Raw genomic sequence first — 25,925 nt, 5'->3', positions numbered from 1 at the left:
AGGCGACCCACGTGGAGTTTGAAGCTAGCACGTTTGAAGCTAGACACTCCGTGTGTCTGTCTGTGTTTGTTCAGAACTGAGTCACGTGAGTTGATCCCCATGACATGCAAATGGAACTTGCTAGTGTAGCTTCCAGGAAAGCCTTTTAAAGGAAGTCTTGGCTGGCCTTCCCCGTGGCTGGTAGGCCTTCTTTGGTCTGAAGTGGGTTGTGATGCCTGGCAGTGGAGCAGCCATCCTGTGACCATGAGGCAGAGCTCTGTGCTGCAACTGGTGGAATAAGGAGAGAGAAGTCACCACTGAGCTGCCCTTGGAGCCCCGGCCACCCCATCCCCAAGCAAAACCTCTTTAGTTGGGTTTTTTTTCTTTCCAAAGAATTTTTTTTTTTTTTTGAGACAGTCTTGCTCTGTTGCTCAGGCTGTAGTGCAGTGGGGCAGTCTCCGTTCAATGCAGCCTCTGCCTCCTGGGTTCAAGAAATTCTGCCTCAGCCTCCCGAGTAGCTGGGATTGTAGGCGCCCATCACCACGCCCAGCTAATTTTTGTATTTTTAGTAGAGACGATGTTTCACCATGTTGGCCAGGCTGGTCTTGAAATCCTGACATGATCCGCCCACCTGGACCTCCCAAAGTGCTGGGTTACAGGTGTGATCCACTGCACCCAGCCTCCCATTAGCTTTTTTTTTTTTTTTTTTGAGACAGTTTCGTTCTTGTTGCCCAGGCTGGAGTGCGGTGGCACGATCTCTGCTCACTGCAACCTCCGCCTCCCAGGTTCAAGTGATTTTCCTGCCTCAGCCTCCCAAGTAGCTGGGATTACAGGCATGCGCCATCACACCCAACTAATTTTGTATTTTTAGTAGAGACGGGGTTTCTCCATGTTGGTCAGGGTGGTCTCAAACTCCCGACCTCAGGTTATCCGCCTGCCTCGGCCTCCCAAAGTGCTGGGATTATAGGTGTGAGCCACCATGCCTGGCCAGCATTTTTTAATAGTGACATAACACTTCTGTGTGTCCTTTGGCCACTGGATGTACCGTTTCTCTGTGATGGCCACATGACTGTCTTTGCTGGGAGCTCCCTGGGCATTTGGGATGACTGCCCCTGCTCAGTCATCCTGGCTTATCATGTCTGTGCCATACAGAGACCTCCCATTTTTAGGAAGTCAATTTATATTTGTCACTCTTAGTTTTTTGTAGCCTGTTTATTTTTGAGACGGATTCTCACTCTGTCGCCCAGGCTGGAGTGCAGTGGTGTGATCTCTGCTCACCACAACCTCCGCCTCCCGGGTTTAAGCAATTCTCCTGCCTCAGCCTCCCAAGTAGCAGGGATTGAGTAGCTGGGATTACAGGCGCCTGCCAGTACATCTGGCCAATTTTTGTTAATTTAGTAGAGACAGGGTTTTGCCATGTTGGCCAGGATGGTCTTGAACTCCTGACCTCAAGTGATCCTCCCAAAGTGCTGGCATTACAAGCATGAGTCACCGTGCCCGGCCTTTGTAGCCTATTTAGAAACGCCTTTCCTCCCCCCAGCAAGAGATCTTAAACATGTATCTTCTTCCACATTTCTGACATTCCCATTTTAACACATGAATCACTTTTGTAAGGACTAAAAATGGGGATCTCAGCTTATTTTTTGAATAAGACTGATAGCAAATGCACACAGCAAAGTACAACAGCTCAGCTTGACATATGGTAAAGTTCCCCCATCCGAGATTTTTTTTTAAATATACTTTCTGCTGCTATTTTAAGCTAAAAAATTCATTTTAAAGTATATAATGAGTATAATGAGTTTTCTTTTTCTGGATTCCAAGGCACCTTGATCAAGACAACTGAATCTTTGTACTAATGCATAGTGTGACCTTGTGAGAAAACAATCACCCATGTACCTATTATCTTTTTTTATTTTCTATTTTTTTGAGACAGGGTCTCAGTCTGTCACCCAGGCTGGAGTGCAGTGGCCTGATCTCGGCTCATGGCAACCTCCACCTCCTGGGTTCAAGTGATCCCCTGCCTCCGTGTAACTGGGACTACAGGACTGTACCATCATATGTAGCTAATTCTTGTTTTGTTTTTTGAGATGGAGTTTCACTCTTGTTGCCCAGGCTGGAGTGCAATGGCGCAATCTCGGCTCACTGCAGCCTCTACCTCCCGGGTTCAAGGGATCCTCCTGCCCCAGCCTCCCAAGTAGCTGGGATTACAGGCGTGTGCCTGGCGAATTTTTGTATTTTTGGTAGAGACGGGCTTTCACCATGTTGCCCAGGCTGTTCTCGAGCTCCTGACCCCAAGTGATCAGCCCACCTCAGCCTCCCAAAGTGTTGGGATTACAGGCATGAGCCACCACACCAGGCCTAATTTTTACTTACGTAGAGATGCAGTCTCACTATATTGCCTAGGCTGGTCTCAAACTCCTGGCCTCAAGCGATCCTCCCGCTTGGCTTCCTAAAGTGCTAGATTACAGGTATCTGCCACCATACCCAGCCAATAGTGTCAATTTTTTTTTTTTTTTAAATGAGATGGAGTTGTGGTCTTGTTGCCCAGGCTGGAGTGCAATGGCATGATCTTGGCTCACTGCAACCTCCGCCTCCTGGGTTCAAGCGATTCTCCTGCCTCAGCCTCCCGAGTAGCTGAGATTACAGGCGCCTACCACCACGCCCAGCTAATTTTAGTAGAGATGGGGTTTCACCATGTTGGCCAGGCTGGTCTCAAACTCCTGACAACAGGTGATCCACCCACCTTGGCCTCCAAAAGTGCTGGGATTACAGGCGTGAGCCACCACGCCTGGTGATAGTGTCTATTAAGATTGCCTTTACAAAACTTAGTGGGACATGGTGGCACGTGCCTGTAGTCCCAGCTACTCAGGAGCATGAAGTGGGAGAATCGCTTGAGCCCAGGAGGTGGAGGTTGCAGTAGCAATCTCGGCTCACTGCAACCGAGATTGTGCCACTGCACTCCAGCCTGGGTAACACAGCGAGACCCTGTCTCAAAAATAAACTGCTTTGGGCCGGGCACGGTGGCTCACGCCTGTAATTCCAACACTTTGGGAGGCCCAGGCAGGTGGATCACCTGAGGTCAGGAGTTTAAGACCACCCTGGCCAACAGGGTGAAACCCCATCTCTAGTATAAATACAAAAATCAGCCAGGTGTGGTACATGCCTGTAATCCCAGCTACTTGGGAGATTGAGGCAGAATTGCTTGAACCTGGGAGGCGGCGGCTGCAGTGAGCCACGATCACACCACCACACTCCAGCCTGGGCAACAAAGCGAGACTGTCTCGAAAAAAAAATAAACTGTCTTGCACCTCGAAGGTTGTCTTACCTAGGAATCTCTCTTGTTCCTCTATTTTTGAAAATTGGGGTAGAATATGAAATATGCGAGTCCTAAATGTTCAGCTTAAATTTCGAGAAGTGAACATAGCACTGTAGCCTATATCCTTATCAAGATAGAGAATGTCTCTGTCACCTCAGGTCACCTTGTGCCTCTTCCCACTTGATCTCCCCCTTCCCAGTCCCTGGGCAGCCTCCCATCCAGTTTTGTCTCCATAGATGACACCTGCCTGTTCAGGCCAGCATGGGCTCTTGTGTTTCAGATCTTTCAGCATAAATGCCTTTGGGATTCATCCATGTCATTAATATGTGTATCAGTTTTGTCCTTTTTAAAAAAAATATATATATATTTTAGAGGCAGGATCTTGCTCTGTTGCCCAGGCTGGAGTGCAGCGATGTTCTACTGCAGCCTTGATCTCCTGGGCTTAAGTGATCCTCCTGCCTCAGCCTCCTGAGTAGCTGGAACTACAGGCGCATGCCACCATGCCCAGCTAAGTTTTACATTTTTTTTGTGGAGATGGGGTCTCACTGTGTTGCTCAGGGTGGTCTCAAACTCCTGGCCTCACGTGATCCTCCCACCTCAGCTTCTGTAGTAGCTGGGACCACAGGCATGTGCCGCCATACCCAGCTAATCATTATTTTTATTTTTATTTATTTTTGAGACGGAATCTCACTCTGTCACCAGGCTGGAGTACGGTGGTGCGATCTTGGCTCACTGCAACCTCTGCCTCCTGGGTTCAAGCTATTCTCATGCCTCAGTCTCCCGAGTAGCTGGGATTACAGGCCTGCCACCAGGCCTGGCTAATTTCTATGTTTTTAGTAGAGATGGGGTTTCGCCATGTTGGCCAGGCTGGTCTCAGACTCCTGGGCTCAAGCGATCTGCCTGCCTCGGCCTCCCAAAGTGCTGGGATTACAGACATGAGCTACCATGCCTGGTAGCTGATTTTTATATTTTTTTATAGACAGGATCTCGCTTTGTTGCCCAGGCTGGTCTCAGAATCCTGGGCTCAAGCGATCTACCTGCCTTGGCATCCCCAAATGCTGGGATTATAGGCATGAACCACTGCGCCTGGACAAGAATATATTAACTATACTCACTATGTTATACAATAAATCTCTTAGAAAGCCTTTATTTGAACTTTTTTTCTTTATATTGTTTGGAAACAACTACAGTCTCAAGAGCAGTAGATTGAATTGTGATGCAGGTCAGGCCTTTGTATCCAAGGGTTCCACCTCTGGCATTCAACCAACCACAGATTTAAAATATTCAGAAAAATTCCACAAAGTTCCAAAAAGCAAAACTTGTATTTGCCACTTACCAAGTACTACATGGAATCCATGAGAATAAAGCAACGTGTAGACGTTATGTCAGGTATTACAAATAATCTAGAGACGACATAAAGTACACAGGAGAGGCCGGGCGCAGTGGGTCATGCCTGTAATCCCAGCACTTTGGGAGGCCAAGGTAGGAGGAACACTTGAGGCCAGGAGTTCAAGACCAGCCTGGCCAACATGGCGAAACACCTTCTCTACAAAAAATAACAAAAATTTGCTGAGCATGGTGGCACACACCTGTAGTCCCAGCTACTCCAGAGGCTGAGATGGGAGGATCACTTGAGCCCAGCAGGTGGAGGTTGCATTAAGCCGAGATTGCACTAGCCTGGGTGACAAAGCAAGACTCTGTCAAAAAGTAGTGTACACAGGAGAATATGTGTAGCGTATATGCAAATACTATGCCATTTTATTTTATTTTATTTTATTTTATATTTGAGACAGAGTCTCACTCTGTCGCCCAGGCTGGAGTGCAGTAGCACAATCTTGGCTCACTGCAACCTCTGCTTCCCGGGTTCAAGTGATTCTCCTGCCTCAGCCTCCCAAGTAACTGAGATTACAGGCATGTGCCGCCACGCCCGGCTAATTTTTTTGTATTTTTAGTAGAGACGGGGTTTCACCATGTTGGTCAAGCTGGTCTTGAACTCCTGACCTCAAATGATCCACCCGCCTCAGCCTCCCAAAGTGCTGGAACTACAGGTGTGAGCCACCATGCCCGGCCTATGACATTTTATATTAGGGATTTGAGCACATTCTGATTTTGGTACCACATGGGGTCCTAGAACCAATCCCCTGGGGATACCGAGGGATGGCTGGACATAGATTTGTATACACATGTGTATCCACGTCTAGGCTACTTTTCTAGGAGTTGAATGACTGGATTGAAACTTTAGAACTGGCACAGCCGCTAAAAGTCAAGCAGGTGTTTTATAGGGATTTCATTAACTTTGCAGACTTCTGGAAGAATTGACATGTTAATGACAAGCCTTCCTTTCTAAGAACAGGGTTTGTCCTGTTTGTTCAGGAATTCCTTTGTGTCCACAGCTTTTCATCCAGATCTTGCAGACTTCATAACTTGATTCCTAAGTATTTAGTCCCTTCATTACTAATATAAATGGGATGTTTTCTTGATTTCTAAACCATGGTCCTTTGCCTATGGAGAGATGCTCCATTTGTATTGGCTGTGATTTTGTAAACTGTGTTTTTTGAATCTAACCAACTTGTTGAATTCCTTTTTTTTTTTTTTTTTGGAGATGGAGTCTCACTCTGTCACCCAAGCTGCAGTGCAGTGGCGCGATCTCTGCTCACTGCAACCTCCATCTTTGGGTTCAAGGGATTCTCTTGCCTCAGCCTCCTGAGTAGCTGAGATTACAGGCATGGGCCATCACACCCAGCTAATGTTTGTATTTTTAGTAGAGATGGGGTTTCACCATGTTGGCCAGGCTGGTCTTGAACTCCTGACCTCGGGTGATCCGCTTGCCTCAGCCTCCCAAAGTGCTAGGATTACAGGTGTGAACCACCGCGCCTGGCCTGAATTTCCTTGTTTTTAATCCCACTTTTTCAGTGGTCACATTTTCAGGTATACGATCCTTCACCAAGAACAACTTGAGGATGTATTTTGGTGTAAGAATTAGAAACCTTGTCTTTTCTTTTTAGAGACAGGGTCTTGTTCTTTCACCCAGACTGGACTGCAGTGATGCGATCATAGCTCACTGCAGCCTCGAACTCCTTCGCTCCAGAGATCCCCCAACCTCAGTCTCTGGAGTAGCTGGGACTACAAGTATGTACCATCACGCCTAACTAATTTTTATTTTTATTTTTAGTAAAGATGAGTTCTTGCTATGTTGCCCAGGCTGGTCTCAAACTCCTGGGCTCCAATGATCGTCCCTCCTCATCCTTCCAAAGTGCTGGGATTACAGGTGTAAGCCACCGTGCCTGGCTTCTTTTTTTTTCCTTTTAATATATGATTATTTTTTGTAAAGATGGCGTCTCACTCTGTTGCCCAGGCTGGTCTCCAGTGATTTCAATTCTTGTAAGTATAAAGCAGATGTGGAAGTGCTGGGTCATTTGGTGGTTCTATTTTTAATGTTTTGAGGAACCACCATACCATAGTTCATAGTGGAAGGCTGTTTTTTAAATGAAATAAACATGTAAGGCTGAGGTGCCCATCTACTTCCCTAGAAAAACCACAGTAAGGACATTGCCACGTCTCCTTTCTGCCCCTGTTTTTTGGCTGTTACCACATCTGCATGTCCATCAATTTAGTATTTCTTTCTTTTTATCTCTATTTACTTTTTTTTTTTTTTTGAGATGGAGTCTCTGTTGCCTAGGCTGGAGTGCAATGGCGCAATCTTGGTTCGCTGCAACCTCCGCCTCCTGGGTTCAAGTGATTCTCCTGCCTCAGCCTCCTTAGTAGCTGGGATTACAGGCACGCACCACCACGCCCAGCTGTTTTTTTTTTTTTTCTTTTGAAACAGAGTTACCTTCTCGTTGCCCAGGCTGGACTGCAATGGCAGGATCTCGGCTCACCACAACCTCTGCCTCCTGGGTTCAAGCGATTCTCCTGCCTCAGCCTCCTGAGTAGCTGGGATTACAGGCATGCGCCACCACGCCCAGCTAATTTTGTATTTTTAGGAGAGACAGGGTTTCTCCATGTTGGTCAGGCTGGTCTCGAACTCCCAACCTCAGGTGATCCACCTACCTTGGCCTCCCAAAGTGCTGGGATTACAGGCGTGAGCCACCATGCCTGGCCACACCCAGCTGATTTTTGTATTTTTAGTAGAGATGGGGTATCATCATGTTGGCCAGGCTCGTCTCGAACTCCTGACCTCAAGTGATCCTCCCACCTCGGCCTCCCAAAGTGCTGGGATTACAGGTGTGAGCCACCGCGCATGGCCTATTTTTATTTTTTTTTACAAAGTCTTGGCCGGGTGCGGCGGCTCACACCTATAATCCTAGCACTTTGGGAGGCCAAGACAGGCGAATCACCTGAGTTTGGAGTTCAAGACTAGCCTGGCCAACATGGAGAAACCCCGTCTCTACTAAAAATACAAAATTAGCTGGGCATGGTGGCACATGCCTGTAATTCCAGCTACTAGGGAAGCTGAGGCAGGAGAATCACTTGAACCCGGGAGGTGGAGGTTGCGGTGAGCTAAGATCATGCCACTGCACTCCAGCCTGGGCAACAAGAGCAAAACTCCATCTCAAAAAAAAAAAAGGAGTCTCACTCCATCGCCCAGGCTGGAGTTCAGTGGCGCAGTATTGGTTCATGGCAACCTCTGCCTCCCGGGTTCAAGGGATTGCCATGCCTCAGCCTCCCGAGCAGCTGGGATTACAGATGCCTGCCACCACACCTGGCTAATTTTTGTATTTGTAGTAGACAACAGGGGTTTCGCTATGTTGGCCAGGCTGGTCTCGAACTCCTGACCTCAAGGGATCCGCCCACCTTGGCCTCCCAATGTGCTGGGATTACAGACGTGATCCACTGTGCCCAGCAGAAACAGGACCTTTAGAGAGAAAATTAAACCCAGGTGTGGTGGCTTATGCCTGTAATCCCAGCACGTTGGGAGGCCGTGGCAGGCAAACCACTTGAGATCAGGAGTTTGAGACCAGCCTGGCCAACTTGGTGAAACCCCGTCTCTACTAGAAATACAAAAATACAAAAATTAGCCAGGTGTGGTGGCACATGCCTGTAGACCCAGCTACTCGGGAGGCTGAGGCAGGAGAATCACTGGAACCCAGGAGGTGGAGGTTGCCATTAGCTGAGATTGCACCACTGCACTCCAGCCTGGACTACAGAGTGAGACTTCACCTTTAAAAAAAATAATTAAAAAAAAAAAGTTTAAATGAGGTCATTAGGGTGGGCCCTAATCCAATATGACTGATGTCCTTAGAAGAAGAGATTGGGACATAGACACACACAGAGGAGGCCACGTGAGGACCGAGGGAGAAGGTGCCCCCACCTCAGAAGAAACCAACCCTGCCGACACTGTGATCTTGGACTTCCAGCCTCCAGAACTGAGAAAATAAATGTGTGCTGTTTAAGCCTCCTAGTCTGTGATATTTTGTTGTGAAAATGTGAGAAAAAGTAACTAATGTTAAGCTGGGTTTGCTCAATTCTGCTTTCCAGCGTAATTTCACAAAGCCCCTGACTCTGAGACACGTGAGACACGTCTGCGCAGCTCTACAGAACAAGGCTTTGAAGACAAAACAGGACAGAGCACAGGGCACACCATGTCCCTTGCCCGAGTCACTATATTCCTTAAATGAGTCTGGGCACGGTGGTTCATGCCTGTGATCCCAGCATTTTGGGAGACCAGGGCAAGGGCATCACCTTAGCCTGGGGAGGTTGAGGCTGCAGTGAGCTGTGATCGTGCCACTGCACTCCAGCCTGGGTGACAGAGAAAGACCCTGTCTCAAAAAAAAAAAAAAAAAAAAAAAGGCGTGCCAGGTGCGGTGGCTCATGCCTGTAATCCCAGCACTTTGGGAGGCCCAGGCAGGCGGATCACCTGAGGTCGGGAGTTCGAGACTACCCTGACCAATATGGAGAAACCCCCGTCTCTACTAAAAATACAAAATTAGCCGGGTGTGGTGGTGTGCATGCCTGTAATCCCAGCTACTCAGGAGGCTGAGGCGGGAGAACCGCTTGAACCCAGGAGGCGGAGGTTGCAGTGAGCTGAGATCGCACCACTGCACTCCAGCCTGGGCAATAGAGCAAGACTCCGTCCCCCAAAAAAAAAAGAAAAAAGAAAAAAAGGACCTGGGCCGGGCACGGGTGGGTCACACCTGTAATCCCAGCACTTTGGGAGGCCAAGGTGGGCGGATCACAAGGTCGGGAGATCAAGACCATCCTGGCTAACACGGTGAAACCCCATCTCGACTAAACATACAAAAATTAGCTGGGCGTGGTGGCGGGTGCCTGTAGTCCCAGCTACTCAGGAGGCTGAGGCAGGAGAATGGCGTGAACCCAGGAGGCGGAGCTTGCAGTGAGCCGAGATTGTGCCACTGCCCTCCAGCCTGGGCAACAGAGTGAGACTCCATCTCAAAAAAAAAAAAAAAAAAAAGGACCTGGTTCAAACCTTTTCCTACACATAAAATAACATCTAATGGGGTCAGGGTATTATGCTTCTGTAATCTATAACCAGATGTACTCTTGCACCCAAACCTTGATGTGGCTCACACCTGTGTAATCCCAGCACTTGGCTCATGGCAGCCTCACCTCCTGGGCTCCAGCGATTCTCCTGCCTCAGCCTCCTGAGTAGCTGGGATTACAGACATGCACCAACATGCTCAGGTAATTTTTGTATTTTTAATAGAGATGGGTTTTCACCACGTTTTCCAGGCTGGTCTTGATCTCCTGACCTCAGGTCATCTGCCTGCCTTGGCCTCCCAAAGTGCTGGGATTACAGACGTGAGCCACTGTGCTCAGCCTCTTTCTTTTTTAGAGACAGGGTTTTTGCTCTGTCACCCAGGCCAGAGTGTAATGGCACAATCATAGCTCACTGCAGCCTTGACCTCCTGGGCTCAAGCAATCCTCCTACCTCAGCCTCCCAGGTAGCTGGGACTACAGGCGTGCATTACCACACCCAGCAATTTTTTGTGTGTAGTGATGGGGTCTCAATGATGTTGCCTAGTCTGGTCTTGAACTCCTGGGCTCAAGAAATCTTTCTGCCTTGGCCTCCAAAACTGCTGGGATTATAGGCACGAACCACAGTGCCCAGCCAAGAAATATATTTATATGTTACATCTCACATATATTACATAAATGCATATTATATATTAATACATGTCCAAAAATAATATTTCCTTTCTTGGTGCCTTCTTTCCAAAGCATTCCTCATTAACAGGTTCTGATTCTTTCTTTCCAGGAAATGATTTGCATATATCTGCATATCTATGTGCTGTTGAAGATTTACACAAATTGGTTCCTGTAATATATGCCATTTTATATATCGCTTCCTCTTTTTTTTTTTTTTTTTTTTGAGATGGAGTCTTGCTCTGTCGCCCAGGCTGGAGTGCAATGGCGATTCTCCTGCCTCAGCCTCCCAAGTAGCTGGGATTACAGGCACCCACCACCATGGCCAGATTTTTTTTTTTTTTTTTTTGTATTTTTAGTAGAGACGGCATCTCACCATGTTGGCCAGGGGCTGGTCTTGAACTCCTAACCTCAGGTGATCCACCCACCTCGGCCTCCCGATTACAGGTGCCCAGCCTGTTTCCCTATAACATCTTTACTACCACGGGGTGATATCGAATTTTTGAAGCTTTGCCCAATCTGCTGGGTTGTTTGGATTTTGTGTTGCTCAGAGTACATTTGAGTAAGCTTGTAAAAATGTTTATCAGTCCTTTGGACCAGCTTCATATTTTCACCAATATAGCCAGGCCACCCTCCTGAAAGGCCACAGCGGCGTGCCTCTCTTTCCTGCTCTCCAGCTAATGTTTTCCCTTCCACTTGGCTCTCTACAGGCTTCTAGAATAATTTTTTCCACAAGAAAAGTTGGTGATATTCCAAACACTTGAGTGGCCTCCTCACTCACAACTCAGAGGATAAAAAAGCATAAACTTTTTTTTCCTGTCTTCTTATTTATTTTTCTCAGGGCATTCTCCCTTACAAGTTATTTTTTGTTTTGTTGCGTGTGTGTGTGTGCGTGTGTGTGTTTTTGAGACAGGGTCTCTCTCTGTTACCCAGGCTGAAGTACAGTCGCATGATCATGGCTCAACCTCCTGGGCTGAAGCTGTTCTCCCACCTCAGCCTCCTGAGTATCTGGGACTACAGGCACACAGAACTATGCCCAGCTGATTAAAAAAAAAAAATTTTTTTAAGGGCCGGGCGCAGTGGCTCACACCTGTAATCCCAGCACCTTGGGAGGCCGAGGTGGGCCCCCGTCTCTACTAAACCGTCTACTAAAAACACAAAAATTAGCACGGCGTGGTGGTGGTCATCTGTAATCCCAGCTACTCGGGAGGCTGAGGCAGGAGAATCACTAGAACCCGGAAGGCAGAGGTTGCAGTGAGCCGCGATTGCGCCGCTGCACTCCAGCCTGGGCGACAGAGTGAGACTCCATCTCAAAAAAAAAAAAAAAAGTTGTTTTTTAGAGATGGGGGGTCTCACTATGTGTTGCCCAGGCTGGTCGAATTCCAGGGCTGAAGTGATCCTTCTGCCTCAGTCTCCCAAAGTTCTGGGATTACAGGCGCGGGCCACCACACCCAGCTAATTTTTGTATTTTTAGTAAAGACGGGGTTTCGCCATATTGCCCAGGCTGGTCTCGAACTCCTGACTTCAAGAGATCTGCCCATCTTGGCCTCTCAAAGTGCTGGGATTACAGGCGTGAGCCACTGCGTCCGACATTGTCAAACGTTTTTTGTTCATTATCACCCTTCTTAGGAGAAAACCCGAATTATCCTAAAATTGAATTTACATCAACTAAATTAATTTCAATTTAATTACATTTAATATCTCCCTAAAGGCAGAAACTAAATACTTAGGGATAAATGCTGTCTGATAGAGCTGGCTTTGGAAGACCACAATATCTAAGATTTTTTTCCTCCCTGAGGACCAGTTTTTTCCCCTGGGGAGTCATCATGAATCACTTCGACTGAGGACGGTTGTGCTTAGAGCAAGGAGCTGAGCAATAAACAAGTAAATGCACAAAATTATACCGGAAAGCCAAGAATGCTACAAAGAAAAGAAGAGGGAGTGGCTGAGGGGAGGCCACTTGGCATCTGAATCATTGGGATCGGGAAAGAAGACAAGGAACAGTTTAAGCAAAAGGATTGTTTTCCCCGAACTTTGGTTTCTTTTTTCTTTCTTTTTCTTTTTTTCTTTTTTAGAGACAGGGGTCTCACTATGTTGCCCAGGCTTGTCTCAAACTCCTGGCCTCAAGCCATCCCCACGCCTTGGTCTCCCAAAGTGCGGGATTACAGGCAGGCGCCACTGCACCCAGTCTGAGCCTCAGTTTCTTCAGCTGTAAAATGGAAGTAATATCCTCCTCACCATGCTTCATATACAATAAGCACTCAATAAGTGAGCTTTATGATTATTATTATTTATTTTAATTTTACTTATTTTTCTGAGACGGAGTCTCACTCTGCAGCCCCAGGCTGGAGTGCAGTGGTGCGATCTCGGCTCACTGCAGCCTCCGCCTCCTGGGTTCAAGCGATTCTCCCGCCTCAGCCTCCCGAGTAGCTGGGATTACAGGTGCCCACCACCACGCCTGGCTAATTTTTTTTTTTTTTTTTTTTTTGAGACGGTGTCTCGCTCTGTCGCCAGGCTGGAGTGCAGTGGCGCGATCTCGGCTCACTGCAACCTCCGCCTCCCGGGTTCAAGCGATTCTCCTGCCTCAGCCTCCCGAGTAGCTGGAACTGCAGGCACGCACTACCACGCCCAGTTAATTTTTGTGTTTTTAGTAGTGACGGGGTTTCGCCACGTTGGCCAAGCTGGTCTCGAACTCCTTACCTCAGGTGATCCGCCCGCCTCGACCTCCCAAAGTGCGAGGATTACAGGCTTGAGCCACCTCGCCTGGCCTATTTTAATTTTAAAGGTTAATAGGACCAGCCCTGAAATCAGCCTCTGCCCCCGCTGGCCCTACTCTGGTACCAGCAGCGCCCAGTAGCATACACAGCCGCGTGCGCCTCCACCTCCGTCCGCAGGTGTCGCTGTGGGTGCCGCGGCTGGGCCCCTCTAGGCGGCGACGGCGGCACCGGAAGTCTCGTTTTCGCCCGCTTCCGCTCTCTGGCCGGGCTTGGGCTGCGTGGAGAATACTTTTTGCGATGCCTACTGGAGACTTTGAGTGAGTCGGCGATCGCGGAAAGGGGCACGGGAAGCGGTTGGGGTGCTCTGGGAAGTATTATGGGGCCTGGGTACGCCGAGGCTGCGGGAGCCGGGCCTGGCTGACTTAATCTTCGTTCCCCACACATTTGTTTCCGCAGTTCGAAGCCCAGTTGGGCCGACCAGGTGGAGGAGGAGGGGGAGGACGGTAAGTGTACACGGTCGCCCGGGGTATTCGCGGCCAGGCCCAAGCCGTGTGACTGCCGCCTGCTTCCATCTCCCAGTCTGGCACCGTGTACCCCGTCACGGTCTGCCCCTGCCCCGCGCCATCCTCCTTGGGACCCGCCTGTTGCCAACTCCAGGTGTTCCCCGGCGGGTCCCTCTTCCTCCCATGCCACTGCCTCCCAGCTGTTCCCCTCCAGGGAGGAAGTTGTAATCTCCCGTCTCCTGTTTCTCTACTGGCGCCTGGTTGGCTTCATGGCCTGGCACCCACCTTCCTACGAGGGATCTCCCATCCTTGCCACTCCGAGTCCCCACAGGGCCATCCCAGTGCGTTGCCTGGCCAGCCCTCTGCCCTTGGCCTGCCTTTCTCCGCTTTTGCTGTAGGCGTCATCCCAAAAGCCCTTCCATCGCAGCTGGGGAGCTCCTGCCCCTGGAGCTGACTCCTCCTTCCTACGCTGCCTTTTGCAGACAAATGTGTCACCAGCGAGCTCCTCAAGGGGATCCCTCTGGCCACAGGTGACACCAGCCCAGAGCCAGAGCTACTGCCGGGAGGTGAGTGAGGACTGCCGGGAGGTGAGTGAGGACTGCCACTCGGTGTCCGGGCTGCCTCTCCCTCCAGCCCTGCCGCTCCTGATCCCCATGACCCAGGGCTCAGTCTTTCTCTGTTTTTCCCCTTCTGCCAGCTCCACTGCCGCCTCCCAAGGAGGTCATCAACGGAAACATAAAGACAGTGACAGAGTACAAGATAGATGAGGATGGCAAGAAGTTCAAGGTGAGGGTGGGGGGTGCAGGGAGTGGGGACCCTTGTGCTTGGGGGCCCATAGACCGGAATGGGGTGGGGTGTGTTGAGGAGGTTGATAAAGGAGATCCCTTGGTCCCAGGAGCCTGACCCTTCTCCCCTCCCATCCTCAGATTGTCCGCACCTTCAGGATTGAGACCCGGAAGGCTTCAAAGGCTGTCGCAAGGAGGAAGGTGAGGCTCTTCTTCCCCAGGGCTAACCTAGAGGAATTGGAAAACCGTGCTCCCGGACTTTGTGTTTAGAGATGGGGCTTAACTCTTTTTTTTTTTTTTTTTTGAGACAGAGTGTTGCTCTGTCCCCCAGGCTGAAGTGCAGTGGCACGATCTCGACTCACTGCAACCTCCGCCTCCTGGGTTCAAGTGATTCTCCTGCCTCAGCCTCCCGAGTAGCTGGGGTTACAGGCATGTGCCACCACGCCAGCTAATTTTTGTACTTTTAGTAGAGACGGGGTTTTGCCATGTTGGCCAGGCTGGTCTCGAACTCCTGACCTCACATGATCTGCGCACCTAGGCCTCCCAAAGTGTTGGGATTACAGGTGTGAGCCATCGCACCCGGCCAGGCTTACCTCTTTGTACCTATTTTGTTGAAGCTGAACTGAGGCCTGGGGTGCTTGCACTGTCTTGGGGCCCTGAAAAGTCCAAGGCACAGCAGTCGATAAATAGCAACTAAATAAATGATGATAAATATCTAATCAAAGTTCGATGATAGATATCAAATTATATTAATAAATATCAAATAACATCGATTGTAAATATCGAATAAAAATTAGATTCTTTTAATTTTTTTAAAGACACAGTGTCCAGTTCTGTTGCCCAGGCTGGAGTACAGTGGCACGATCATAGCTTACTGCAGCCTTGAACTCCCAGGCTCAAGCCATCCTCCCACCCCACCCTCCTGAGTAGCTGAGATTACAGGTGTGCACTGCCACACCGGCTAATTTTAATTGTTTGTAGAGATGGGGTTTCACTATGTTGCCCAGGCTGGTCTCCAGCTCCTGGGCTTGAGAGATCTCCCACCTTCGCCTCTCAAAGTGCTGGGATTACAGGAGGGAGCCACTGCGCCCAGCCACGGTTAGATTCTTATTCCTCTTGGCCTGTCAACCTGCAGGAACGGAAGCAGGAGGTGGTCGCAGCAGTTTTTGGAAGAAGCGTTAGCAATAAGTATACTTAGAACAGCTTGCTGTGCACTTAATTGTAACATACCCCATGCCAAGCACCTTGCACGAAGTGTTTCTCATTCAGTCTCCTTAGGAGCCCAGGGAGGCAGGAAGCTTTTGTGGTTCCCGTTTTATAAGGGAGGAAGCTGAGGCTCAGGTTGTCTAGCTCAAGGGCCCGGAGGTCTAGGTGGACCCCTGCACATCCCTGAGTATTGCGCCCTGGTGGGAGCTGGTCCGCCAGACTGCGCAGGCCCCACGCTGTGTAGCTGTCACCTGGACCCGGAGGCTGACAGCTGCCCTGCCTCCTGGAGCTCAGGCCTGGCGTGTACTCAGGAAACAACTGTCGCCAGGACTGTTCAGGGAGTGCTTGAGGAGGATGAAGATGGGGTTTGAGGCCCAGACACTCTGGGGGTGGCTGTTGTAGGTCTAGGGCACCCCACTGTGGAACCCAGCCTGCCCCTGCCCTCAACTGTCCCCCATCCCTCCCTGAGCCCAGAACTGGAAGAAGTTCGGGAACTCAGAGTTTGACCCCCCCGGACCCAATGTGGCCACCACCACTGTCAGTGACGATGTCTCTATGACGTTCATCACCAGCAAAGAGGTAAGCGGGGCAATCAGGTGGGGCTGGCATCCTGGGGTGGGGCAAAGGGGGTGCCTTAGCCGCCTCTGAGCTCCCCCCAACCCGCCCCTGCCAGGACCTGAACTGCCAGGAGGAGGAGGACCCTATGAACAAACTCAAGGGCCAGAAGATCGTGTCCTGCCGCATCTGCAAGGGCGACCACTGGACCACCCGCTGCCCCTACAAGGATACGCTGGGGCCCATGCAGAAGGAGCTGGCCGAGCAGCTGGGCCTGTCTACTGGCGAGAAGGAGAAGCTGCCGGGAGGTGTGGGGGTGGGAGGGTCCTGCTGTCAGTGCACGGGTTCTGTCCCCACTGCTGCCTTCGTGCTGTCATCTCCCGCACGACAGTGCAGCGGGTTTGATGGTGCCAGACTCTCCTCGGGGCGTCTGTGCCTTCCTAATTGGCTGTACCTCCTATGGTTGGGAGACGGGCGTCTCCCATATATGTGCGACTTGGCAGCTGTGACTTTGCTGGTGGCCCTGTGACTGTCCTGATGAGCTGCTGTCTGTCGGCCCCAGGGTGCTGACCACCCCACATCGTGTGTGCGCACTGTGTGTATAGTGTCTCCGTTGCATGCCTGTGGCTGTACCGTCCGAATTCTTTGGTGGGATTTGCTGGTGGCGAGTGTGAGAGTGCAGACGTGCACTTGTCGCCTGCCACGCGAGGGGGACCTGGGCGCTGTTCCTGTTGTGTGTCCCATGTCTGCCGTTGCTGTGCATGTGAGGCTGCTGCCCCTGTTGTCCTCCCGCCCTCTCTGGGGTGGGGTCGGGGCTCCTCCTCCTCCTCCTCCACCAGTGTCGCTGGCTGGGAGCTCAAATGGTGTCAGCTTCTCAGGTGTCACCTTGGTGTCCTCGTGGCCAACTGGCTGCCTGTGGTTTGGCACACAGTGCCTGCGCTGGCTCAACACTGAAGCCCGAGCTTCCTGGGGCGGCTCTGTCCCCACGCCTGCGCCACAGTGAGGTTGAACTTGACTGTCTTTTGGTCCCCAGAGCTAGAGCCGGTGCAGGCCACGCAGAACAAGACAGGGAAGTATGTGCCGCCGAGCCTGCGCGACGGGGCCAGCCGCCGCGGGGAGTCCATGCAGCCCAACCGCAGAGGTGAGGGGCACCCCGACGCCAGGCTGGTGGGTGGGCACCTCCCGGCACCTCGTAATTATCCCCGAAGCGTGCACACGAGGGCTGGGCAGCACACGAGGGCTGGGCAGTGTCCTCCCCCTCACAGCCACCTCCCCTCTCCCACACAGCCGACGACAACGCCACCATCCGTGTCACCAACTTGTCAGAGGACACGCGTGAGACCGACCTGCAGGAGCTCTTCCGGCCTTTCGGCTCCATCTCCCGCATCTACCTGGCTAAGGACAAGACCACTGGCCAATCCAAGGTGGGCAGGCAGGCAGGCACGGTGGGGCTGTGTGAGGGTCACTTGTCCTAGGGTCGCCTGTCCTAGCTCGTGCCCGACCCCATCCCGCCCCTCCACAGGGCTTTGCCTTCATCAGCTTCCACCGCCGCGAGGATGCTGCGCGTGCCATTGCCGGGGTGTCCGGCTTTGGCTACGACCACCTCATCCTCAACGTCGAGTGGGCCAAGTAAGACTCCATCCCTGCCCCAGCCCCTGCTCCCTGCCTTGTCCCAGCACCTTCACGGAGTGTTGGGCCAACCAATAGCCCTGAGCCAATTTAACAGTCCCCCGGCTGGTTTTGAGGGGACAGTCCTTTATTGTTTTTTTCCAAAACCGGGCAGAGGGGTGGCAGCTCTTGTGCCTGGGGTCCCTGCCAGTCCGTGGACCAGGCCTGGAGACTGGCCATCTGGCTCCGTGCCCGCTTCGTCCTCACATTACCCCGTCCTCTGCCCACCCACCCCCAAGATGCCACTTGGGTGTCTGGGGTCTTGGGGTGCCCCCAGAAGTCTTATACCTGCCACCCTCCCCTACCCCAGGCCGTCCACCAACTAAGCCAGCTGCCACTGTGTACTCGGTCCGGGACCCTTGGCGACAGAAGACAGCCTCCGAGAGCGCGGGCTCCAAGGGCAATAAAGCAGCTCCACTCTCTCTACTTGGTTCTTTTTGTTCTTGCGTCTCCAGTCCTGTGGCGGGGGCCAGTGCCTCCCCTCCTCTGGGCGTGGTCTGGTCCCTGACCCTGCAGGGAGCCCTGTGGCCAGCGCTGTGGGTGGGAAAGGCGACTGCTCCTGCCTGGGCTGCAGCTGGGCCTGACCTGGCTGCAAGCACAGGTGTTGCTTTTTGGGGGAAGGGATGTGTCGGGGCTCGGGCCCTGCCCTCAGGGTTCTCCAGCAACACCTAGGGTGAGGAGGCAGCTTCCGCTAGGCCACATCATTGGCTCAGCTCACGGGACTGGGGCTCTGACGGTTTAGGGGCGGCTGTGGCATTGAGGGGCAGGGCTTGGCCAGTGCTCTTGGCGTCCTCTGGGTTCCAGCTGTCCCTGTAGCCGGGGCAGTGTCGGCAGCAGCAGCCCAGGCTGGGCACTGCGGCCATGTAGAGTAGAGGGTGGACACAGAAGGCCAGGGGCATGAGGCCCCGCATCACCTGGTAGCCCACGTAGGGCCCCAGCTCCAGGGCTGCTGTGGCCTGGGCTATGTCTGCAAAGCTCGGGCAGCGGGTGCTCCAGCGCCGCCGAGCATCCACGTTGAGCACCCGCATGATGTGGTAGGGCACATAGGAGCTGGCGTAGAGGGCCACACCACTGGCCACCAACGCTGCCACACGCAGCTTCTCGGCCACAGTCATGCCTGGGCTGCGTAGCACGGCCCGCCCGAGGGCGCCGTAGGCTGCCAGCGTGAGCAGCAGCGGCAGGCCGCAGCCCAACCCCGCCAGCACCAGGCTATACGCTCTGTAGGCCGCCAGCCCGTGGTCTGCTGTCCCCAGACACTTGATGCAGGCCTCGGGCCTGGCCACGCTGCAGTTGCCCGCCCCCTGCTGCGGCCTCTTCAGGTGGGAGAAGCTGAGTGTGGGCATGGCCAGCAGGGCGGCCAGGACCCAGCCGGCAGCGCTCACGGCCCAGGCGTGCTTGGGTCGCAGGTGGCTTCGGGCGAAGAAGGGGTGCACGATGCCCAGGTAGCGGTTGAGGCTGATGCAGGTGATGAAGATGACGCTGCCCAGCAGGTTGCAGGTGAAGAGGAAGCGCTCCAGGCGGCACGCGGCCTCCCCATAGCGCCAGTGCTTGGGGGGATAGAGGTAGGCGGCCAGCGGGGGCAGCGTCAGGGCGCAGAGCAGGTCGCTGACTGCCAGCTGGACAGAGAAGACCACGGCGGGGTGCCATGGGCGCTGCTTCCGGATGCTGAAGCGGTACAGGGCCAGGCCATTGCTGGCCACGGCCACCAGGAACTCAACCACCAGTATGGGCCACAGGAAGTCCCCCTGGAACCCACTGAGTTTGTCGTCGGCAGCTGCCAAGAAGTTGGCAGGGCAGGACTTGGCACCTGTGGGCAGAAGGTGTCACCAGCTGAGCCCTATTCCCCCATAAGGCGGCTCCTGCTACCCCAAGAGCCCACGTCTGCCATGGCGTGGATCCCTGGACACGAGTTCTTTCCCCTCCCTGGAGGGGGACCGGGCTCCACTCCTTTATGTGGACAGGATTGAGGCTCAGAGCCAGGGTTATGCATTGGGCCCCAATGGACCAGCTTAGGCGGGCCAGGCAGTCTTGGAGCTCAAGGTCCACTGGTAACACAGACAGCGGCCACCCTACTCCCCCACCACACCTGGCCCCACTAGAGGCCTCCTCCCCAAAGTCCAGCCCCAGCAAGGCCTGCCGGCTCCACTTCAGATCTGTGCCGTCCAAAGCCCCGTGGGGGTCCAGCCCCCACTCTGCCCTGACCTTGGCACCCGCCGCCGCCCAAAGCCTCTTCTCCCCGTGGCCACCAGAGAGCACCCGCGAGCGCTGGAGTCCTGCCCCATCCTTTTGCTTCCAGGTGCTCACACTTGGCCAGGGAGTTGCCGCCAAAAAGCCAGACTCACCCCACAAGGTCCCCCAAGAGCGCTCCCGCCCGCCATACCCCCCAGTGCCACCCTCTGTGCTCCGCGACTCACTCCCTCGCACCAGCCCACCCAGGCTTCCTGGCTGCTCTTGCAGACTTGTGCCTTGGTACCTTCGCACCCAGACTTTTTTTTTTGAGACAGAGTCTCACTCTCATCACCCAGGCTGGAGTGCAATGATGTGACTTCAGCTCACTGCAACCTCTGCCTCCCGGGTTCAAGTGATTCTCCTGCCTCAGCTTCCTGAGTATTTGGGACTACAGGCACCCACCACCACGCCTGGTTTAATTTTAAATTTTGCATTTTTAGTAGAGATGGGGTTTCCCCATGTTGGCCAAGAGGTCTCGAATTCCTGACCTCAGATCTGCCCGCCTCAGCCTCCCAAAGTGCTGAGATTACAAGTGTGAGCCACCGTGCCCAGCCACACCCAGACATTCTTGAGGCTCCTCTTCCCACGTCCGTGGTCCTGCCTGCGAGAGGCCCCAAGGCCACCCTAACCACTGTTGACAGCAGCCCTCGTGCCTCCACTCTCCCTTCCCTGCGTTATTTTCCCCCATACCCTGCGCCACCTGATGACGGTGAGAAAAATCTCCCTCCTTCGGGAGGATGGGGGGGCCTGCTTACCCATTACTGGTGCCAGTGCTCACCACAGTGCCCAGGGCACAGCAGCACAGGGGCACTCACTCCTTGTGCACCCCACCCCTGCCTCTGCAGGCTGGGGACAGGCTTCTCCGGAGGCGCCTCCCTGCTCCCAACGCCAGCCTGCTTAAGGAGGAAGTGTCGTCTAGACGTGGCTTTTTTTTGGAGACAGGATTTCACTGTCACCGAGGCTGAGGTGCAGTGGTGCAATCACAGCTCAGTGCAGTCTCGACCTCCTGGGGTCAAGTGATCCCCCTGCCTCAGCCTCCCGAGTAGCTGGAATCACAGGCTCGCATCACCACACCCAGCCTTGACCTAGGCTTTTTTTTTTTGAGATGGAGTTTCGCTCATTGCCCAAGCTGGAGTGCAATGGTGCAATCTCGGCTCATGGCAACCTCCGCCTCCCGGGTTTAAGTGATTCTCTTGTCTCAGCCTCCCGAGTAGCTGGGATTACAGGCATGTGCCACCAGGCCCAGCTAATTTTTTTATTTTTAGTAGAGACGGGGTTTCTCCTTGTTGGTCAGGGTGGTCTCGAACCCCTGACCTCGTGTTCCACCCCCCTCGACCTCCCAAAGTGCTGGGATTACAGGCGTGAGCCACCGTGCCCAGCCCCAGACCTAGGTGTTTTACCAATACCCACTACCCCCACCTCCTGACAATCTGCAGACCCCCAGAGACAGCCAACATGCCTTCTCCTTACCCGAGACGTTGGCTGCCATGCTCCCGTGCCGATCCTCAGCCTGTGTCTGCTACCCAGTTCCCCAGCCCCTCCCCCAGTCACCAGTGGCTTAGTGGGCCCTGCCCCAGCCCCATCCCCAGTTACTGGCCCAGCCAGCAGAGCAGGCCAGCGTGCCTTTCCACCCACGTTTCCTTCCTCATTGTGCCACAACCCTCCTGAGGTTCAAGCTCATCTGCTGAAAGTGTGACCTGTCTGCTTGCACGGCTCTTTGGTGGGACTGGGGGGAGGGGCCACTCATGGCTGCTGCTGCCACCAATGAAACCAACCCCGTGCAGGGTAGGGGAGAGACCCAGCTTCCAGGAAGAAACCAGGTGGGAGGGACTCTCGGGTGTGGCCGGCCCAGGACTCTCTGGGTTGCTTTGTATGGCTCCAGAATCCCCCATCCCAAACGCTGACGTGGACCCCTGGCCAATTCAGTTCTTTACTGGAGTGGAAGGGCTGGGGACACAACTCCTTTATGAAAGGAAACCGAGGGCCACATCTCGGGCCCCAATCTGGGGCGTTCAATCCAGCCGCTGCTCCGGTGCGGCTTGGGCTCAGGCCACTCTCTTCCCTGGGCGGCCCCGGCCCCGGCCTCGCCCACCATCCCGGGAAGCCCCTCTGGGCCCCCGCCTGGCCTGGGCTCCCTGGGACTTGTCCTTGGTCTTGGGAAACTTCTGGTCACAAAGGCGACCCCTGCCTCGATCCATTTCCCACCGCTTCCGCTTCCGCCCTGGAGACTTGGCAAGCCGTTTCTGCTTGGCCTCGGGGAACAGGTCTGTGGGGAGAGACAGTGTCAGGGCCCCCAGAGACAAGGACAGGCTCTGGGTGCCCTGCTGCAGACCCCACTCCATACCCTCACTGGGCGCCTCGCCCACCGCCTGGCAGAAATACTCGATGTCATCATCTTCCTGTTCATCATCGTCCTCACCCAACTCCAGGCTCGCCGTCCTTGAAGGGATCCCAGAGGCCTCTTCATCACTACCCCCGACCCGTGCCTTCTTCATGCCCTCCAGGCTCTTCTTTCTGGAGGAGGGCGTGGGGGTCAACATAGCCGCCCATCCCAGGGACCCCCCCTTGGCCCTGCCCTTCCCAGCTCTGCCTGGACCTGTGGGCCTCCCGCTGCTCCTGCTTGCGCTGCACATTCTGGGCCTGCTGGGCCTGCCTCTGCGCCTTCAGCCGCAGCTTCTTCTCCTTGGCTTCCAGGATGGCCTGCAGCTCCTCCTCCGTCTTGCTCACTGAGCCAAGAGACGCGGGTCACCAAGATCCGGGTGCAGCTCCACACCCATGACCCCCCACCCCCGGCGGCCCCGGCCTCACCAAAACTGTGGAACATCACTTTGCCCTCCCCGACGCCCTCCTGGACCTTGATGAGCTGCAGTGTCATCCGCGGGCCGATCTGAGGGGACGAGGAAGAAGCGTCAGCCCACCGTTGGGACTGGTGGAGCCCGGGGGTCCCCCTGCCCTGGGCCTCACCTCGGTGAGCCGCACTGCACTCTGCTGGGCCCGCATGTTGCCACGGCCAGCGACAGCCTGAGGCAGCTCTGTGATGTTGTGGTCGCCGTCAGGCTCTGCCTCGCTCTCCGACAGCCCCGCGCCCCTGTGTGTAGGACATAACAGGGCTCAGTGGGGGAGCTCAGGCTCCCGGTCCTGTTCTGGGGTCCCCGGGCCGCAGTGGCCTCCCGCCCTATGCCCTCCTCACGTGGCCAGCAGCTCGCTGATGTCCTGCAGGCGGCTCATGTTGGGGAACTTCTCCTGGAGCAGCTTCTTCATCCCGCGACTCGCGCCCACAGGAACAACTTTGATGCTACTGCAGGAACATGAGTGGACGGCAAGGGGGTGGTCAGGGGGCACGTGATGGGGCTGGCGGTGCCCATCTCACCCTTCCCACAGTGCGTCAGGGCGTTTACTTTGGACAGAGCAATCACAGCGTCTCAGCAGAAGTGCTGTCATCAGCCGCATGTGGAGGCCCCCACCCGGCACCCCCTCGTCTCCCATCCTGCTGGGACACTCACTAGTGGCGGAAGTCCAGCTCCTGGGAGTCGGGGTTGTAGTCGATGAGGAGGCAGCGCTTGATGGTGTTCAGGTTCACCTGGAAGGGGAGGAAGAGAGCATAGTCCAGTAGACTCATGGCAAAGTTTGGGGAAGTGGGGGCTTTGGGGGATACACACACTGTTCGTGGACTGTGGCACTGGCTAGAAATGCTGCTTCCAGCTCGCACCTGCAGTTTTAGCTACTCCAGAGGCTGAAGTGGTGGGACTGCCTGAGCCCAGGAGTTCAAAACCAGCCTGGGCAACACGGCGAGTCTCCATGTCTACAAAAAGTAGATGGAAAAATGAGTTGGATGTGGTGGTGCACGCCTGTAGTCTCAGCTACTCGGGAAGCGGAGGCTGCAGGATTGCTTGTGCCCAGGAGTTCAAGACCAACGTACGGAGACCCCGTCTCTTAAAAAAAAAGTAAAGAAGGCCGGGCACGGTGGCTCACGCCTGTAATCCCAGCACTTTGGGAGGCCGAGGCGGGCAGCTCACGAGGTCAGATCAAGACCACCCTGGCTAACACGGTGAAATCCTGTCTCTACTAAAAATACAAAAAATTAGCCGGGGTGTGGTGGCGGGCACCTGTAGTCCCAGCTACTCGGGAGGCTGAGGCAGGAGAATGGCGTGAACCTGGGAGGCGGAGCTTGCAATGAGATGAGATTGTGCCACCGCACTCCAGCCTGGGAGACAGAGCAAGACTCCGTCTCAAAAAAAAAAAAAAAAGGTAAACAAGAAATTCTGGTCCCAGAGCCGTATTAGCCTCCCTGATGACTGATATCTTATATATAATTTATAAGTCCCATCTGAGAGTCACTAGTGACAAGGATTAGGAGCTAGGACTCAGGAGCCAGATGAAATTAAAAATCCAGTCCTGCCCCCTGGAATCTAAACTTAGCATCTCTGCCAGCCTCAGATTTGCTTTTTTTTTTTTTTTTGAGACAGTGTCTCGCTTTGTCACCCAGGATGGAGTAGAGTGGCGTGAACACAACTCACTGCAGCCTTGACCTCCTGGGCTCAGGTGATCCTCCCACCTCAGCCTCCCCAGTAGCTGGTACTACAGGCATGCACCGCCACACCGGGCTTTTTAAAAATCTACTTTTTGTAGACATGGGGTCTCGCTATGTTGCACAGGCTGATCTCAAAGTCTTGGCTTCAAGCGATCCTCCCACCTCGCCCTCCCAAAGTACTGGGATTACAGGCCGAAGCCATAGCACTGGGCCCGCAGCTTCCCTCTGTAAAACAGGGCCCTAAGAAGAGATGCTACGATCCTGCTCAGCCCAGCACTCAACACACGTGGGAAACAGAGCTCCATCAGTATTTCTTTCCACCGGCTGGAAAAGGTGCAGCTCACGGGGTGTGGACCGCTGGGGGAATCTCTGGACACTTTTGCCCAGCATCATCAGACACAGGAGTGGGATTTGACCTCAGGACTCAGCAGACCCAGGAGCTCCCAGTCTCAGCGCTGGGAGGAGTGAGCAATCCATCTGAGGGCCTGTGGCACCTCTATCCGCTGCACCCCCCCATACCTGCCACCTCGCCAGGCCAGACCCACCTTGTGCACGTTGATGGAGGGGAACAGGTTCTGGAACATGGTGGCCATGAGCTTCACATGCATACCATGGGGGCCAAAGCTGTTGAGTACCAGGAGGGGTGGGTGGGCAAACTGCTGCTCGTGCATGCGGTGCCGGCGCAGTGAGGAGACCACATCACGCACCAGCGAGTACTGTAGGACAGGAGAGAGGAGGGGGTGACCACCAACCACACATGGCTGCGGACAACCCCAAGTCCAGCTCCCACCCCACATGGCTTTGTACCACCTCCACCCCTCTCACCTTCTTGACCTGGAAGGTCAAGGTGGGGCCTCCTGGGAGGCGCATCAGCTTCTGCAGGAGAAGAAAAGATCAGTGACTCTGGAGGGGTCTAGCAGAGGTGCCCGGAGTAGGCACCTTTGCCCCATCTCTTCTTCAGAGCGTTTACTTTGAAGCCAGAAATCACAGCAGCTCAGAGGCATATGTGTTCATCATGAGAGATAGGGGAAGGGGGGGTCTGGGGGAGATGAAGGGTGAGGGCGTCTACTCACAAAGTAGACATTGGTCTCTGTTTTGCTCAGGATCAGAAAGTGTGTGACCCCGAGGGGCCCAGCCACTGCCACGCAGTCCTTCAGCGAGTTCTTCTTACGAACCTGGAAATGACAAAAAGAAAAAAAGAAAACATAGCTTATCCCTTGTTGTGACAACTATAAGCTGACGGTGCAGATCCTGTTATGGTCTGTCTTGCATCTGACCCTTTCAACAAGCCCAGAGGAGCAAAAGGATCTTAGCCTTTAGAGTCAGTCGGAC

General features: G+C 53.8%; 4 protein-coding genes and 2 non-coding genes across 9 annotated transcripts in view, besides 7 other annotated features; 1 reads left to right on the top strand and 5 right to left on the bottom strand.

Moving 5' to 3' along the window:
- Positions 83-379: a silencer, noted in NCBI's record as "fragment chr19:10243570-10243866 (GRCh37/hg19 assembly coordinates)". NCBI's record gives its function as "represses an EF-1alpha promoter that drives an FKBP-Casp9 reporter gene in an ReSE screen in K562 erythroleukemia cells {active_cell/tissue: K562}" and the evidence as "EXISTENCE:reporter gene assay evidence [ECO:0000049][PMID:32094911]".
- Positions 13,116-13,871: an enhancer, noted in NCBI's record as "H3K27ac-H3K4me1 hESC enhancer chr19:10230078-10230833 (GRCh37/hg19 assembly coordinates)". NCBI's record gives its function as "activates a minimal SCP1, AML or CMV promoter by ChIP-STARR-seq in naive and primed H9 embryonic stem cells {active_cell/tissue: H9 hESC(naive and primed)}" and the evidence as "EXISTENCE:reporter gene assay evidence [ECO:0000049][PMID:30033119]".
- EIF3G (eukaryotic translation initiation factor 3 subunit G) lies at positions 13,374-18,259 on the top strand. The gene is made up of 11 exons (NM_003755.5): positions 13,374-13,433; positions 13,573-13,619; positions 14,102-14,185; positions 14,317-14,405; positions 14,546-14,605; positions 16,085-16,189; positions 16,284-16,473; positions 17,199-17,306; positions 17,453-17,589; positions 17,688-17,794; positions 18,144-18,259. The coding sequence occupies exons 1-11, from the start codon at positions 13,414-13,416 to the stop codon at positions 18,157-18,159; spliced, it is 963 nt and encodes a 320-aa protein (NP_003746.2). The 5' UTR covers positions 13,374-13,413; the 3' UTR covers positions 18,160-18,259.
- Positions 13,872-14,628: an enhancer, noted in NCBI's record as "H3K27ac-H3K4me1 hESC enhancer chr19:10229321-10230077 (GRCh37/hg19 assembly coordinates)". NCBI's record gives its function as "activates a minimal SCP1, AML or CMV promoter by ChIP-STARR-seq in naive and primed H9 embryonic stem cells {active_cell/tissue: H9 hESC(naive and primed)}" and the evidence as "EXISTENCE:reporter gene assay evidence [ECO:0000049][PMID:30033119]".
- On the bottom strand, positions 17,901-21,580 carry P2RY11 (purinergic receptor P2Y11). Its single transcript, NM_002566.5, has 2 exons — positions 21,533-21,580; positions 17,901-19,640 (listed from the first exon to the last, which is right to left on the bottom strand). Exons 1-2 carry the CDS (start codon positions 21,549-21,551, stop codon positions 18,535-18,537), a joined length of 1,125 nt encoding a protein of 374 aa, NP_002557.2. The 5' UTR covers positions 21,552-21,580; the 3' UTR covers positions 17,901-18,534.
- The window catches only part of PPAN-P2RY11 (PPAN-P2RY11 readthrough), a 9,011-nt gene continuing 986 nt past the window's right edge, over positions 17,901-25,925 (bottom strand). Inside the window, exons 3-13 of one of the 2 annotated variants that reach the window (NM_001198690.2) lie at positions 25,667-25,768; positions 25,419-25,469; positions 25,139-25,309; positions 23,566-23,642; positions 23,253-23,360; positions 23,027-23,150; positions 22,871-22,949; positions 22,659-22,788; positions 22,407-22,576; positions 22,189-22,328; positions 17,901-19,640 (exon numbers count right to left, since the gene is read on the bottom strand). In NM_001198690.2, coding sequence (NP_001185619.1) covers positions 19,419-19,640; positions 22,189-22,328; positions 22,407-22,576; positions 22,659-22,788; positions 22,871-22,949; positions 23,027-23,150; positions 23,253-23,360; positions 23,566-23,642; positions 25,139-25,309; positions 25,419-25,469; positions 25,667-25,768 — 1,374 coding nt within the window. In that variant the 3' untranslated portion in view covers positions 17,901-19,418. The remainder of the gene's footprint in view (positions 19,641-22,188; positions 22,329-22,406; positions 22,577-22,658; positions 22,789-22,870; positions 22,950-23,026; positions 23,151-23,252; positions 23,361-23,565; positions 23,643-25,138; positions 25,310-25,418; positions 25,470-25,666; positions 25,769-25,925) is intronic. The other variant, NM_001040664.3, reaches the window with a different exon arrangement.
- Positions 19,306-19,600: a silencer, noted in NCBI's record as "tiled region #3609; K562 Repressive non-DNase unmatched - State 12:CtcfO". NCBI's record gives its function as "represses a minimal TATA promoter and a strong SV40 promoter by Sharpr-MPRA in K562 cells {active_cell/tissue: K562}" and the evidence as "EXISTENCE:reporter gene assay evidence [ECO:0000049][PMID:27701403]".
- Positions 19,761-19,830: an enhancer, noted in NCBI's record as "active region_13939". NCBI's record gives its function as "activates an Ori minimal core promoter by ATAC-STARR-seq in GM12878 lymphoblastoid cells {active_cell/tissue: GM12878}" and the evidence as "EXISTENCE:reporter gene assay evidence [ECO:0000049][PMID:35858748]".
- The window catches only part of PPAN (peter pan homolog), a 5,790-nt gene continuing 1,125 nt past the window's right edge, over positions 21,261-25,925 (bottom strand). Inside the window, exons 3-12 of one of the 3 annotated variants that reach the window (NM_020230.7) lie at positions 25,667-25,768; positions 25,419-25,469; positions 25,139-25,309; positions 23,566-23,642; positions 23,253-23,360; positions 23,027-23,150; positions 22,871-22,949; positions 22,659-22,788; positions 22,407-22,576; positions 21,261-22,328 (exon numbers count right to left, since the gene is read on the bottom strand). In NM_020230.7, coding sequence (NP_064615.3) covers positions 22,108-22,328; positions 22,407-22,576; positions 22,659-22,788; positions 22,871-22,949; positions 23,027-23,150; positions 23,253-23,360; positions 23,566-23,642; positions 25,139-25,309; positions 25,419-25,469; positions 25,667-25,768 — 1,233 coding nt within the window. In that variant the 3' untranslated portion in view covers positions 21,261-22,107. The remainder of the gene's footprint in view (positions 22,329-22,406; positions 22,577-22,658; positions 22,789-22,870; positions 22,950-23,026; positions 23,151-23,252; positions 23,361-23,565; positions 23,643-25,138; positions 25,310-25,418; positions 25,470-25,666; positions 25,769-25,925) is intronic. The other 2 variants (NM_001346141.1, NM_001346139.1) reach the window with 2 other exon arrangements.
- Positions 23,206-23,787: an enhancer, noted in NCBI's record as "H3K27ac-H3K4me1 hESC enhancer chr19:10220162-10220743 (GRCh37/hg19 assembly coordinates)". NCBI's record gives its function as "activates a minimal SCP1, AML or CMV promoter by ChIP-STARR-seq in primed H9 embryonic stem cells {active_cell/tissue: H9 hESC(primed)}" and the evidence as "EXISTENCE:reporter gene assay evidence [ECO:0000049][PMID:30033119]".
- SNORD105B (small nucleolar RNA, C/D box 105B) lies at positions 23,433-23,524 on the bottom strand. Its single transcript, NR_003688.1, has one exon. It is a non-coding gene; the product is annotated as a small nucleolar RNA, C/D box 105B (small nucleolar RNA).
- Positions 24,699-25,342: an enhancer, noted in NCBI's record as "H3K4me1 hESC enhancer chr19:10218607-10219250 (GRCh37/hg19 assembly coordinates)". NCBI's record gives its function as "activates a minimal SCP1, AML or CMV promoter by ChIP-STARR-seq in naive H9 embryonic stem cells {active_cell/tissue: H9 hESC(naive)}" and the evidence as "EXISTENCE:reporter gene assay evidence [ECO:0000049][PMID:30033119]".
- Positions 25,538-25,622, bottom strand: SNORD105 (small nucleolar RNA, C/D box 105). Its single transcript, NR_004381.1, has one exon. It is a non-coding gene; the product is annotated as a small nucleolar RNA, C/D box 105 (small nucleolar RNA).

Source organism: Homo sapiens, chromosome 19, assembly GCF_000001405.40.
Source record: "Homo sapiens chromosome 19, GRCh38.p14 Primary Assembly".
In the NCBI taxonomy this organism is placed as follows: domain Eukaryota; kingdom Metazoa; phylum Chordata; class Mammalia; order Primates; family Hominidae; genus Homo; species Homo sapiens.
This window is presented reverse-complemented; position numbering and strand designations above follow the sequence as displayed.

Coding starts and splice junctions, on each gene's coding strand:
- EIF3G (NM_003755.5), top strand. CDS start 13,414: ATGCCTACTGGAGACTTTGA. Junction 13,434..13,572: donor ATGCCTACTGGAGACTTTGA/GTGAGTCGGCGA, acceptor TTGTTTCCGCAG/TTCGAAGCCCAGTTGGGCCG. Junction 13,620..14,101: donor GGAGGAGGAGGGGGAGGACG/GTAAGTGTACAC, acceptor TGCCTTTTGCAG/ACAAATGTGTCACCAGCGAG.